The following is a 16,212-nucleotide window of genomic DNA, read 5'->3' as shown; positions in this document are numbered from 1 at the left end:
TTCTTCTTATGGTTATTTGGAGAATTGGGCTAGTTAATTTCCTGACTTACCTAGTAAATTAATAAAAATGTATTCTACACGCACATGCAAGATTGTAGAAAATCATCAGCAGTAGACTGTCAAAAAGCAAAAGACATTGCTTCGTTTTGTTATTTCAATACCCTTTTTCCTTTTTCAACCTCCTTATTTTGGCAATACCATCTATTTCCATGATCTCTAATATTGCTTCTATCCTGATGCCTACCAAATTTGTAACTGTGTGCCTTACCTTGATCCTGTTTCATAAGAATACTTTAAACTGCCCTGTGAGCATTATTTGTATGGAAAATTTAGTGGCATGTCACATTCTACATACTTTATAGGGAAAACAGGCAGTTGTTTTAATAATCCAAATTAGAGCTGAAGACTGAATTAAGTCAGTAGTGGAAGTAGTTGGAGGGAAGAAACAGGATTTGAGACACATTCTGAAGTCAATCTTTATAATCTGGTGGCTCACTAGAAATATTAGGAAGACATCAACTGAATGATATCCAAGTCTCTATTTTAGGAATCCGAGGGGATGGGAGGTCTAAAGAATAAATGGAAGTTTTAGATGACAGAACAAATTCTGAAGAAAAGTTGTATCTTAGACATAGTAATTCTACAATTTGTTGTGCAGTATATTGAGGTGGATATAGTTGAGCTGGCTATTGAAAATAAAGTCTGAATGTGGTGACACGGTTAAGGCTACATTTTAAAATGCAGAATTCAAATATCAATTTTTACTGTCTAGGGTTTGTCATGATATAATTTCTGTGAATATTTATTTTTAAAATAAAGAGATTGTGTCTACAAATCAAATAAAGGTTTTTTATTCCAACTCTAATATTTACTTTCCTTTATCGCTTCAATATATATGTCCTTATGTCCTTATGGTTCTGTGTTCTCTAGTTCTCTCATTCTCTCTGCCTTAAATCTACTTTCTTCCATTTTAAAAGTATCAATTTATTACTCAGCCTTCCAAGGTTTGCTAAATTGCCTCTCTTTGGTACCCCTGATCAAAATCAGTTAATCATTCTTCTCTAACCAGAGCAATTTTCTTCAAACTGTGTATTGAACAAATGGAATTAACCTGACCTCGTTGTATTGTTGCATGAGAGTCTTAACAATTTGCAAAATACGAATTAGGCAGTTCACATCAGTAAATATTTTGTATAGTTTGGTTTAAACATGGAAAAATTGATTCACTTTTCATACATTAGTGCCAATGATAAAGGGAAATAATAAAGATTCCAACCTTTTATGCAAAGCAGAAGAGAAAGTTCATGAGACCGCTTTCCATTCTGTCACCGAGCAAGATAGGGCAAGTTGTGGAATTTGTGAGTTGTTCTCATAGCATGTTGTGGCAGGGAATGTAATTAAGGGAGTGGATTTTCTTTCATATTGAGATTTTAATCATCACCAATTTAAGGTTATTTCTGAAAGAAATTGTGACAGACTATTAAGATTTAGTATATTTTACTGCTGAGACTTGCTGAGTTGCCTTTTCACATCGATGACCTTTTGGAATTAAAGAGTTTTTAAAAATCAAAAAATCACGGACCTCCCAGGGAATCACTTGCTTAGGTCACAAAACTATCTGAACACACTTAAGGGAAGATAAATTGGGGAATTTTTTTTTTCAAAAAAGCATTACTGATGTGTTTAAAGAAATGCAGACATCAAACTAAAATTCAACGTGTGTGTCAAGCTAAGGCAAATGAAAAATTGAGCTAACTCCACAATCATAAATTATCCTTAACTGACCAGAATTAAAGAAAATAGGGAATTATAGAGATATTTTATAAACATGAAGTCAAAATTTTCAGAGATTCAGAAATTTCATTGCATATAAAAAGTACTCAAGTCTTTGTGGCTGAACAGCAAACCTCAGAGTGACAGTGTGTGGAAAATGTGTTTTTTTCCTATAAATTTTCATTTATTTCCAAGGAAACAGGTACCAACCTTTGCCTAAAAGAGGACAAAATATCCCAAAGGCAAGTAAGTAAAGTCCAGAAGTTTTCTGGGCATTTTAGCAACTCAGTGCTTCTATTTGTCTAAAAATATATCATTTTTCATAAACTTTTACAAACTAAGCTTAAGTACCGTAGAGATATAAAATTGCACAGAAAATATAGCTCGGCCCATAATGAACAAAATTTCCAATGATAATTTTATGAAATAACACATTTGTCACTGAATATTTTCTGAGCATGAGTTCATGTCTGGTATATGCCTGTAGCCACACAATTTTTATATGAATAATGTTGATTTAATTCTTAAGCTTGATTTTCTCTTGCTACGAAAATATGTTACCTTGATAGCTAGCAGGCTATCTAAGTAGACTTTAAAAAAAAATCAAGTGTGGGAGGAACCCATAATATAATATTCTAACTTTGTTCCCCACTAATACAAATCTCAGTCACTTCGGTATCCCTTTGTTCCTGCCTCTTTGGGTCTTACAGTATTTGGTGTGTAGAGCTGATATTGAACGGCTACATGCTGGAACTACCAAACTTGATTTTACAGGTAATATATTCCAGTTCTTCTCCAGTTGACAAATTATCACAGACCTTAAACTTCTGAGTGTACTTCCGCCACGTGGCTGCCCAAACATCTCTAATAATCCAACAACTTAAAGGCTAATATCTGTTGCAGTTTGTGAGTTCCCATGCCCCACTGACTGTTAAATATTTGGGATATCATCCCGGTTGGTAACTATTGCTTTAGTGCCTCTATCTCTTTTGCTAGACTAATACCTCTATGATAATTCAGCCTAGACTATATTTATGTTTACAGCCTTCCAATATCTTAGACTTAGAGGAGAATGCTTATTAAATTAAATTTAATTCTTTTAAATTCTTTAAAAAATAAGAGTTGAACTAATATTAGGGTTTCGTTACTGTCTAACCCAGCTAGCCTATAGAACATAAGGCTGAGGCAAGGCCTACATGCCAACATTTTCTTAGGGGTACGATTCCAGAGTAGCACACATGAGGGTAAACGCATAAAAGCGGTGCATTACCTTTCTGCCTACAACTTCACAAGAAGACAGGACCAGTTGGCTTGGACAAAAAGGAAGTGTCCAGGGAGAACATATAGAGCTGCTATGCCTCAGAACAGTCCAAGAACAGGAAGGAAGGGAAAGGAATTTTTTTGTCATACTGTTTTTTTATTTTCTGTCTCTCACTGATCTTAGTTTTCCACACTGGGCATTAATCTCCACACACTTCTTGATTGTGTAACCAAGCCACTAAACTCAGATGCTGGGGAAGCCAGAGCTCCTGTAAATTTACCATCAGGTAACACAGGGCTGTCTGAGCGGCTGCATCTCCCACCATCAGGAACCTTGTGGATGCCATGCAGAGTCCAGCTCTGTCAAAAGCCTGACTCTTAAATGAGGCTGAGATAAACAGAGGCATTAGGAAATGAGGCAACAGCAGGGGAAACCAGAGGGCTCTGATGAGAGAAAATGGCCAAGGTTCAGGGGCTAAGGAAGTCTGGAGTGGCAGATAATTGAGAACCAGTACAATTTCTAAAAGACTTTCCATTTTGAATACTTAAACTTGGTCCTCTGTCCCCACAGCCTAATCAACAGTGCCAGTACACTGAGGTGTAAACTAGCTAGAGCAGAAGCTTAAAGGGAAACTACTTAGGCTCCAGTTTTACCAGTCTAATGGAAAGAGAGAGATTGTTCATTAGCTGAAGAAAAACCTTAAGAAATTGATTATTTTTCCAGTTTGTAACAAAACTATGACTTCATCATTTTTTTTGTTTGTTTGTTTGTTTTTTTTTGTTTGTTTGTTTGTTTTTTTTTTGAGACGGAGTCTCGCTCTGTCGCCCAGGCTGGAGTGCAGTGGCGCGATCTCGGCTCACTGCAAGCTCCGCCTCCAGGGTTCACGCCATTCTCCTGCCTCAGCCTCCCGAGTAGCTGGGACTACAGGCGCCCGCCACCACGCCCGGCTAATTTTTTGTATTTTTAGTAGAGGCGGGGTTTCACTGTGTTAGCCAGGATGGTCTCGATTTCCTGACCTCATGATCCGCCCGCCTCTGCCTCCCAAAGTGCTGGGATTACAGGCGTGAGCCACCGCGCCCGGCCGACTTCATCATTTTTATTATCTTTAAATAAATGTCAAAATATCACAATACATGACTATACACATACACACACGCACACACATACACATGCACATACACTAGTATTCTGACATAGAATACCTTGAAAGTAAAACACGAATTTTTGGTTTGGTAAAAACACTTCTCTTTGAATGCAGGTAACTCATAGTTGACCCTGTTTATCTTTTACTTAGTGATACAGCACTTCTACAAAATAATCTCTTCCAAAACAAAAGAAGTTACTACCACACCACTTATTTATTGTAGAAAAGATAAGCATGATTTTCAAATTTCTCACATGAGACCATTCTTTGCTGAGAGCTTTTAGCTTCAACTCTCCAAAGAATCTACTTTCATCTTCTTTTGTGGGTACAGATTGACCATTTTTCAAAGGTTCACTGTGTAGATTTAAATGAAAAAATTAAGTGTTCTTTGGCATTCCGTCCTATTCAAGTGTTGTCTTTGCCTTCCCTTTGGGCAGGCAATCTACTTAGTTTCACTTCAAGGTGACACACATGCTCAGATAGCCCCAGAACACATACACATTACATAGACAAAAGGGCTGGCCAATGCAATGCAGGCTACCTCTGGTTATTCTGAATTAGAATTAAATGTCACTTATACTCACATACTTAGAATTTAGTTCCACTAACTGTGTCTAGTAAAATATTCAACTTCATCTACTGGTTGATTTATTGTATTAGTAGTTTTAATTTTTTTCTCTTAAGCTTCTTCAATTTAAATACTTGAAGCTACATCTTGACTAACTTAATAACAAACTCCAGTATAAAATATCTTTCACTGACAAATAAAACTCAATTGTTTTGGATATTATAGGTCATGAAATTATTAATTGTAATAAAAAATCTAAAACAAATTTTCTTGGCATTTGATTTTGGAATACTCGTTAACTAGGAATCCCTGGGATCAAATATTAACAAATGAAGGTGTATTTTAATCTTCATAATTGCCTAATATAATAGGCATATAATTACATAATAAAATAATAAGCATATGATTTTCATATGATATAAATACAGTTATCAAATACACATCCTGTAACCATTGCTTTTTACGTCTGGTATCATAGAGTCATATACATATATTTTAACATAATAAAATGCGATGTATTTATTTTAAGATTTTAGGTGTTTCTGCAAGTGAATTCTGTCTTATATTCTACCTTTCACTTTTCTATGCTTTTTATTATGAAATTCTCTAGCAGGCAAAGACTTGTATATACAGTTCTCTGAGTGAACCCCACACAGCACCCTTAGTGGGGGGGTACTTAGTAAGTAGAGTTTTGATATTGGTAAAGATGGTATTAGGCATAACACAAGGTAAATGTTAATCTCAGAGTTGTACTATACTGAGACTATTGGGTTGTTTCCCCAATTACACCTTACATTAAACACCCTAACTGTGCCAGAGCATGTAAAAAGCAATGCTGTTTTGTGCTGACTCTTCAGATATGATTGTGAATGAGTGTCACATCATAACGCAAAAGAAAAATACCTTCTCTGTCTCTCACATATGAAAGATGATGATGTATGTTTTATTTACTACTTTGCTTGGTTTCTAGCTATTTTTATCTTAGTTTTGCTTTTATTAATATTTTTATTTGACACATAATGATTGTACATATTAATGGTGTACAGAATGATATTTTGATACCTGTATACAATGTATAATAAATCAGGGTAATTATTATATTCATCACCTCAAATATTTATCATTTCTTGCTGTTGGGAACATACAAAATTTGTTCTTTATAGCTATTTGAAAATATACGATAAATTATTGTTAATTATAGTCACCCTATAGTGCTATAGAACACAAAAACTGATTCCTTAATCTAGCTGTAATTTTGTATTCATTAACCAACTTCTGGCAATGCTCTTCCCTCCACACTTCCCTGCCTCTGGCAACCACTATTCTACTCTCTCTTTCTATGAGATCAACTTTTTTAACTTTCACATATGAGTGAGAACATGTGGTATTTGTCTTTCCGTGCTGGCTTATTTCACTTAACATAATGTCCTCCAGGCTCATCCATTTTTTTGCGAATGACAGGATTTTATTCTTTTTTAAGCCATCCTAATCTTTCTCTAAGCTACAACAGAAAAAGCGGCATCTCTAGACTGACAGTTTCCCTGAATTCATCCCACTTTGCTTTACCATCACGTCAGGTAAATGTGATAGCAATTAGGAAAGAAATGTGCACTCCAGAATCTTTTTTATATATATTAATTTTAAATAATGTGTCTTTTCTGTGGTATATAAAACATAATTCATAATATGCCAACAAACCAAACAGAAAACTTGTATATTCTGCAGAAATGCTATATATTTCCGCTTATTTGTCCATATCTTAAATGTATTTGGACAAAAACAAGAGTAATGGAAAAATGGGGTCAGTTTGAAAGATAAACCTTTTGAAATGGAAAATATTTTTCAGACACATCTTAATGAGAGTAATTTAGAGCAATTAGACACTTTAAATGTAATACAGAAAATTTTTAAAAATTGAATGTAGAGAATTGAAAAATAATTTTTCTATTATGAGTCATTTTTTTCCTTTACATTATTATACTTGAAGTACACAGAAATCCTGTTTAGCCAGAAAATCAGCCATTAAACTATGTGAAGTGTTACATATTGGAGTTTTGACTTCGTAATTAAATTGAGTGTCAGATTTTTAGAACAAGACCAATATTTAACTATGTTCATTTCTTAGGCTTTATATTTCTCTCATATTCAAAGGCAGTCTCAGGAGAGTTCACTATTTTGAAAGATGCCAATCTTCAATATTATTTCCACCAATCCACTCACATGTTGACTCAGATATAAGCTTGAGATTTTGATGCACACAGGGTCATGGACAATATATTAACGACAAGAGAGTGTCCATTTTTAGGAGTATGAAATGTGGTCAAACTATTATATAAATTTCACCTAAGTTGTGAGGAGATTCATAAATATAGCTATAAACTCCATGTAATATAGAATAGTCATTGGTTTAATATTATTTAATTGCCTTAGTGCTTTCTAGTCTTAAAAAAAGTAGACTTTTATAATGTCCTTTAAAGGGTAAACTGCTTGGAAAGGTTCTCTTGTATCAGCATTTTTCTATTTCCATTGGGTTGTCTGACAGATAATATAGAAAGAATTTTCAACAGTAGCAACATATAATTTGTGTTTTTATTTGATTGTGAATTCTGGGGTCAAAAAAAGCAAGACATTAATGGCTCTGAGGCAGATTTTACACCTGTTCTGGAATTGCAGTCTCTCAGGTCAGGACTTCATTTATGCAGCCCACTGGATGTACAAAATTGAGTCTGCTCATCATATGAGCAAATCTGTTGAATTGCCCTTGTTATTGGGATTTACCACTGCCAAAGGTCATGGAGCATCTCTGTGACAAATTTCCTAAAGAACAGCCTTCTGTTTATACCTAGCTTCTCAGAAGCCATAGTTAAGCTTGCGTAAATGTCCAAGTTATCACAGAACTAGATTATGCTTGGGGAAATAAAGCATGACACCTAAATGTTACCAAACTCACTCACGTAGTCTTTGAACTACACATGCATTCCTGGCTTTTTCTAGCTTCTCTAGAGATCTTTTTTTGGGGGGTTTTTGGGGGAGAGCATGTCTAGTAGAACCTTACTTATTCTAGGCTATTGTTTGAGGGTTTATGCGTTTTATGTGTATTATGAATTAAATTTAAAGAGACTGTTAGACACATTGTAAATGGTCTATTAAATATTAGTGAAAATAGTGCCATCAGGAATATTGCAGGAAAACATGTGTCATGTTATAGCTTCCTGCCTATTTCACATGGCCTTATTCATCTTTTTTGAAAAAAAAATTCCTGAAGTTGGACACTACTTGCTTGTCCCCACCCAGGCAGTCTTTGGAATGATATAATGTCCAGCAAAGTCTCTTTTTATTTTATCGTGTCAAAAAACATTTTTTTTTAAATCACCAGTTCAACTTTTGTCTCCACAGTGAAACAGAATATATTTTAAATGTCAAACTTATCTTCAGATGGATCTTCACAGATGCTGTTTTAAAAGTTACTATTCACATATCCAAATTTAGGTCTCATGGGATCGGCTCCAAAGTACACATTTGTATGTATGGGTATATATAGATATATGTACACAAATACATACATTTGTGAAATGATGAAATTGCACAGTGAAATTAGAACTCTTTTAAAGCTCCTAATGTTTGATGTATTCAAATTATGTTTTATTTTTCTCTTTTAGAATCAACTGTTGAATATTTTCCACAATATATCTTATATTTACTAGTTTGGTGCCAACATTTTGTTTGTATTTAAAGAGATTTGCAGTTTTTGTCATATCCTCACAAATGAACTTCTCTCTGTATGATTTTCCTTTTAATTTATATTTTATAGTATTCTTATGTATTTTTCATGTAGACAGCAAAATAGTATTCATCATTGGGTCATAAATTTTTCTCATTAATTTATGACAAAATTTTTATTTTGATACTATTTTTCCTATTTTGATATTGATATTTGATATTTGAATGTTGAACATTATTGAGTGCTATGATCTGTTCTTGGTCCTGGAGATATAAAAGCCCCATTTGAAATTGCACCCATCCATTTCTTGGAGTACTCTCAGAGCAGGTGGTGAGGCAGAAAATTAACAACTAATAGTAATGCAATGCAAAAGGCCTTCTGGTGATGGAATAAACAAACTACCAAGTTCAGATAATTGGGGAAACAGGTAAGTAACCAGGCAAAATATTGCTGAGCTACTGATGAAGTATTCTAGTGTAGATAGCATGTCCACAAGTGTGAGAGTATGAGGCAGGGAGAGAAATAACAGGGAAATGAATACAGAAGAGGAGACTACTCACCCGAAGAATAAGCTTCTCAGGAAAAAAAAAAAAAAAAAGGAAATTGATGAAAGTTGATATAGCTATTATCACTTTGAATTTTGGATGTTTGTTTATAATCAATTAAATTGTGATATTTTAAACTTAGATACCAGTGAATACCTATATTAATATTCTTGGAATTTGAACAAAGTAATTTCTGGGAATGGCAAAGAATAGTGTGTGGCAAATTAGCCTACTGCAAAAAAAGAAAGCCTTGGTAGTCAGTATCTGAGTCATTTTTCAGGTAAAGTGTCCCTGAAGAAAGGGGACCGAGTATACAATGGCATATTCATTATATTTCTACCATTTGAATTAATTCTAATTAGATTATATATAATAAGTTTATTATTAAAATAAGTAAATTCTACTATATTATGGATATGTGTGTCCAATTAACTTCATATATGGAAGGAAATCCACAGATAGGCCTCCGTATATTTAGTGTTGCCAAATTTATATTTATTGTCATTATCACCAGTTATCTAACAAAGAAATTAGATGGCAAGAATAACTGATAATACATTAGTACTTTATCTCTTTTTGTCATCACTTTATGTAAATATCATAGTTTAAAAAATGGATGAAGAAGGAAGAGAGGGATTTTATGTTGGGCGTCTCAGACCACAACTGATAGTTTATGCTTATGAGGTGACTCATGGCGAGTCCCTAGATGGTTTACACTAATGAGATGACTTAGGATAAAGTCTAGCCGTGCCAGAAAGACTAACCATGTGATTAGAAATTTGAGTCATGTGATATCACCCTAATCTCCAGGCAATTTAGGGGGCCTGGAGACTGAGTCATGTGAGTGATGATTCAATCATGTCTAGGTAAGACACCAATAAAAATATAGGCACCAAAACTCAGGTGAGCTTCCCTGGCTGGCAGTACTTTTTGGTCATTGTGATACCTCATTGTTGGGAGAGTAACATGTCCTCAAGGTCTGTAGTAGTTTCACTTTTGAAAGGCTTCTAGACTTCTCCTTATGTCTTTTCTTTGGGTAGTTCTAACTTGATTCCTTTTGCTATAATAAAACTGTAATTTAAAGTACTGTGCTTTCCTGAGTTCTATGAATTGGTCTAAGTGAATTATTAAAACTCAGTGCTGTGGGAACCCCAATTTTACAGCCAGCTGGTTAGAAGTGAGTATGGCCATGGGGACCTCTGGGCTTCTGGCTAGTATTTAAAGTGAAGGTGAGAATTTTGCCCTTAACTTTTAGTTTGACTACCTCTGGGTAAACGGTTACCTAGACATGTATTGACTTACCTACTTTTGTATAATTGATATTTGAATAATATATAATTCATAATATATTATTATATATATTATATAAACTACTACAGTCCTATTATATATATATATATAACTACAGCTTTATAATCAGAACACGTAATTCCATATAGTCTCTTTTCCCAACTTGTATGCTATTTTTTCTCTATTTTCATTCTACATGTATATTTTGAAACCTGAAATAAATTACTGTTTTACCTAAAAAAGAATTCTTTGACTCTTGGTATATAATACAGTTTAGAAATATATTTATCTGAGTGTAGTTTTTATAATTTGCAAAATAATTTTGAGAGAACTATATAGATTTTTGGAATAGTTAAAAATAGGTAAAAAAGTTGAATACCAATGGCTAATGATGTTCAGGCATTAAAACATGCTCAAGATTACACTAAGTAAGTAAACATAAATACTAGAGACATTAAAAAAAATTAAATGATGTTGTTAATTGATTTCTGAGTTCCCTAGAGACCAAAGTCAAGAAGAAAATATATAACTCTTTTAGAAGAGTTACAGTGTCAAAAGATAAAAATATCTCTTTGGTTCTGAGAAATTTAGTAGAAATTTCAGCTGTTACTATGGGAAAGGAAAAAAATGGAGATCCATATTACCTTAATAAGGGCAGAGACAGAAGGAAAAATTGTAGATGACTTTTTTTAATCTTTAGGGTTTTGCAAAATTTATCAGAAAAAAACTATATTCATATAAATGATAAAAATCCCCAAAATAAACCTAGACATTCAGGCAAGTATTTAGTTACATTTTCACATGTTAACTATTTAGATTTTATATTATATTAAATAATAAAACACCCCCACCCCAGCTGTTGTGCTTTTAAGTGAAATAATAAAATGTATGTAAAATATTTATATTAAATATTCACTCATGCCTATCTGTTATAAAGCCATAGGTCTTTCATACACACTTTATAGGTAATGAGTGATGCAATTTTCTTGAAATCAACTCAAAGAGTATGACAGAAATAAAACTGATCTTCCTGGAAGCCATTTTTTTCAGGCTGCATGTGGCTAGTAAAAACTGTATTTTAGAAATGTTTATGCAAAATATCTAATCATTCCAATGGCTTTTAAGATGCAGGCCATAAATCCCTGGGTTGGATTACAAAGTTATTACAATCAGAACTTAAATCCACATGGCAATACAGTTTCTTAATAAATCTATGTGAAAAAATAAACTTACTGTTGTGTCAAGTATCCTTGCTAAACTTATTATATTCAAAAGATGTTTCACACTGGAGAAAGCTGTAAACCCATATTTTACTCAGACACTTTAAGTGTGTTCATAAAGGGCTGCTCAAGAAACCCAAGCTTCCTTTTCTTTACCCTTCTTATACACTCATAGTTTCATGCCTTTGAGAAACAGAAGCTTGAGAAAGTGTGTATGTCTGATACACATAGCAAAACATATTCTTAAGGCATTGCTTTAAATTCTGTGAATTTTAGTTTCATACCAAATTCCCTTATTTAAAGAGAGACGGGAGTGGAACCTGGCTTATTTTAAGTCCAGAGGTGAGTACTTTTGAAAAATGAAACAACTTTTATTTCACTGTTTAGTCCTAAATCAGTGATATATGTTTTTCTTCCAGTCTCCCATAGTTATTTTTCTTAAGAAGGTAAAAAATAACTCCACTCAAAATTTCTAACTTTATCTGTTATCTTTCCTTACAATAAATGCCTAAACCATAGAATTTGGAACAATTTGTTAGTGTTATTAAATCATTAATTAGCCTTTGGACACACAAACTTTTCTACAGGTTATGGCTTAGAACTGTATATTGAAATAAGATGTAGTTTTCACCGACCTGAAAATATAATTCACATTTTTTAAATAATATTTTTTAAATTTTAGAAAACTGCAAACCTATTGCAAGGAGTTCCCATATACTCTACACCCCATTTCTCCTATTATTAACATCTTACTGTGATAGGGTACATATTTATTACAATTAGTGAATCAATATTAATATGTTATTATTAACCAAAGTGCAAACTTCATTCGTATTTTTTTCATTTTATCCAATTTTTTAGCAGCATCTCATGCAGGCTGCATTACATTTAGTTTTCGGGTCTCCTTGGGTTCCACTTAGCTGTAACAGTTTCTTAGACTTTCCTTGCTTTTCATGTCCGTGACAGTTTTGAAGATTATTGATCAGGTTTGTTGTAGAGTGTTCCTCAATTGAGATTGTTCTGATTTTTTTTTTCTGATGATTAGACTGGAGTTATGTGTTTTTAAGAGGGAAATCGTTCAGGTAAAGTACCATTTCCAACACATCTGAAGTCAATACATCATTTTGATTACCTGGCTAAGGTATGTTTTTCAGGTTTCTCTACTATAAAGTTATTTTTCTGTCTTTTCATATTGTACTCTTCGGAAGGCAGTTTCTATGTACAGTTCACAATGGTGTGGGAGGTTATGTTTCTCCTCCACTTTTGAGCAGAGAAATGACAGTTCTGCACAAGAGACTGTCTTTCTCCTCCATTTATTTCTTTATTCAATCATTCATTATATCAGTATAGACTTGTGGGTGTTTATGTTATACTTTGGGTCATAATCTGTTACTACTTTATTTTGTTGCTCAAATTGTGTCAGCTTTGGTCATTGTGGAGCTATTTTGTTTGGCTACTGTGTCTCTTTAATATATGCCCCAAATTGTGTTTGGTTTGTGTCTTGTTTTGCCTTGTTTTTAAGCATTTCCTTACTTTCTAGCGCTACAAGTTTCTCCAGGCTCATCTTGTATTTTTCCTACCCTAGCCCCAGAATCAGCCATTTTTTAAAGCAGCCCTGGTTCCTTTTACTGGAGAATAATATTAAAAACCAAAATCGGGGCACTCGGCATATTTGTTGCCACTAGGGTATCATTGTTTCCGGGACCCGTCAAGTGACACAGCAGTGAGATATGAATGTATACTAACCTAAGCATATATACGTGTTATGTAATCACATTTATCCATATTAAACTAAACATGAGTTCATATTAATGTCTCCAACTCTGACCCATTATTACATGGCATATGCTTTTCCACTTGCTTATCTGCAACCTCGCACTCCAACAATTAAAAACCCGATCTTCTACTATCTGCCAAACCTCTGTCTAATTGTTCTGTTCTCATATGCATTTATAGCACTGTCAGAGTCATACCTCCATAGGGGACCATGTTATGAACTAGAGCACAGTGCTTATGTACAATATATTTTGCCTTTAACCTTTCAGACTGCACTCCTTTCTAAAGGTACTTAGCTTAGGTCAGCACATTTTCCCTCACCATCTTCAGTGAGGTGGTTCTATAATTCATAATATATGTAGATTGTATTTTTCACAGCCTGCTTTCCATCCTGGGATCCCTGAACTCGAAATGATGTCTTTTAATTTTCATACATTAAGGTTTACACTTTGTGCTGTGAGGTTCTATAAGATTTTCACAAATGCTTAGGATGACATATCCACCACTAAAGCATCATACAAAATAGTTTCACTGCCCTCCACTGATCATTTTACTGCTGCTATAGCATTATCTTTTCTAGAATGCTATATAATTGGAATCATACAGAAAGTAGCACCTTTCAGTTTGGCTTTTTTAATGTAGCAATATGCATTTAATATTCATTCATGTCTTTTTATGGTTTGATAGGTAATTTCCTTTAATTACTGAATAATATGATGTATGAATGTACCACAATTTGTTTATCCATTCACCTATTGAAGGGCATGTTTGTTGCTTCCAGTTTTTGGTGATTATGAATAAAACTCCTATAAGCATATGTGTGCATGTTTTCATGAGACATAAATTTTAAAAATCAGTTGGGTAAATAGCTGTAAGTGCAGTTGCTGGATTGTATGATAAGATTATGTTTACCTTCATTAGTAAACTACCAAATTGACCAAATTGTCTTCTAAGATGGCTGTACTATTTTGTATTCCCACGAGCAATGGAAAAGAATACCTGTTGCTTGGCATCCTTGTCAGTATTTGGTATTATCAATTTGTTGCATTTTAGCCACTCTAATAGGTATGTAGTGGCATCTCGTTGTTTTAATTTGCAATTCCTTAATGACATATAATGTTGAGCATCTTTTCGTATTCTTGGTATCCATTTGTATATCTTCTTTATTGAAATGTCTGTTCAGATTATTTGCTTATTTTTATTAGATACTTCACTTTCTAATTGTTGAGTTTTAAGAGTTCTTTGTATGTTTGGAATACAAGTCCTTTACTCAATATGCATTTTGCAAGTATTTTTCCCAGTCTGTGGCTTGTCTTTTAATTCTCTTAAGAGTCTTTCATAAAGTACAAGTTTATAATTTTAACAAATTCCAACTTATCAACATTTTTTCTTTCATGAATCATGATTTTAGCGTTGTATCTACCACCTCATTGCTAAACCCAAGGTCACCCACATTTTCTGTTTCTTTGTAGAGGTTTACAGTTTTGCATTTACCTTTAAGTTTATGATTCATTTTCAGTTAATTTTTGTGAAAAGTATAAGATCTGTGTTGAGTCATTTTTTTGCATATGAATGTCCAATTGTTCCAGAACCATTGACTGAAAAGATTAGTCTTTCTCTTGAATTGATTTTGGTCCTTCTTCAAAGATGAGTTGACTCTATTCATGAGTCTATTTCTAAAATCTCTGTTTTATTGTCTTATATATTTACTTTTTTTTCCAACACCACACTGTCTTGATTACTGTAACTTTATAGTAAATTTTGGAACTGGGTAGTGTGAGTTCTCCAACTTTGTTTTTCTTCAGTATTGCCTTGACTAGTGTAGGTATTTTGCCTTTCTACGTAAACTTTAGAATAAGTGTATCACTATCTATAAAATACTTTTCTAGGATTTTTATTCAGATTGTATGAAATGTATAGCTCAAGTTGGGAAGAATTAATATGTTAACAATGTTGAGTCTTCCCATCCATGAACACAGAATGTCTCTGCTATTATTTAGATTTTCTTTGATTTTTAAATCAGTTTTACAGTTTTTTATATAAATCCTGTAAAATTGTTATATTTATACCTAGATAATATTTGATGCTGTTAAAAGTATTAATTTATTAATTTCAAATTTCAATTGTGCATTGATTGTATATAGGTATACAGGAAAGCAGTTGACTTTGTATATTAACCTTGTGTCCTAAAACACTTCTTCTGCTCTATTATCTCTTTGTTCTTCTTCTGGTATTCTGGTTGTACATATGTTACAAATTTAAAAATTATACCACAGTTCTTGGATGTTCTGCGTTTTCTTTTCTCCATTCTTTGTTCTCTTTTCATTTCAGTTCTGAAGTTTCTCTGTCATCAAGCTCATTGACACCTTTCTTGGGCACTTCCAGACTACTGATGAGCCCACCAAAGGTATTCTTCATTTTTGTTACAATGTTTTGGTTTCTAGCCATTTGTGGATACTTTCTTAGAGCTTCCTTCTCTGGGCTAACATTCCCCATTTGTTACTGATGTTGTCTCCTTTTTCCAGTATAGTCCTTAATATATTAATCATAGATATTTTAAATTCCTTGACCTATTATCTGTGTCATATTTGATTTGGTTCCAGTGCTTTTTTTATATCTCTTCACTGTTTTTGCCAGCTTTCTAGCATGCTTCGTAATTTTTTGTTGTTGTAGAAAGCCAAACATGATACATCAGGCAGTAGAAACTGAGGTAATGGGAGTTTCTGTGTTATTCCGGCTAGAAGTTGGGCTGTATTTAATGTTTACTCTAGCTATAGAATTCTTGTAGTGCCCTACTATTTGTCTATCCTGTTGCCTTTGGGCTCCCCAAGTACTCCTCCACAAAGAGAGTGTGCATCTTGCAGTTCTTTAAGCTATACATCACTGTTTTACCTTAAGCCTTGTTGGTATCATG

At 33.5% G+C, this 16,212-nt stretch overlaps 1 protein-coding gene across 6 annotated transcripts in view; it reads left to right on the top strand.

Annotated features, from left to right (window-relative positions):
• MARCHF1 (membrane associated ring-CH-type finger 1) overlaps nucleotides 1-16,212 on the top strand; it is an 859,722-nt gene that overhangs the window by 507,140 nt on the left and 336,370 nt on the right. Inside the window, exon 1 of one of the 6 annotated variants that reach the window (XM_017008334.2) lies at nucleotides 15,631-15,705. The exons of the other annotated variants lie outside the window; for them this stretch is intronic. The gene's annotated coding sequence lies outside the window, so the exon portion shown is untranslated. Of the gene's footprint in view, nucleotides 1-15,630; nucleotides 15,706-16,212 lie in introns of those variants that run through there. 6 annotated transcript variants of the gene reach the window in all.

Source organism: Homo sapiens, chromosome 4, assembly GCF_000001405.40.
Source record: "Homo sapiens chromosome 4, GRCh38.p14 Primary Assembly".
NCBI lineage: Eukaryota > Metazoa > Chordata > Mammalia > Primates > Hominidae > Homo > Homo sapiens.
Note: the sequence above shows the minus strand (reverse complement) of the source record. Positions and strands in the feature narration are given on the sequence as shown.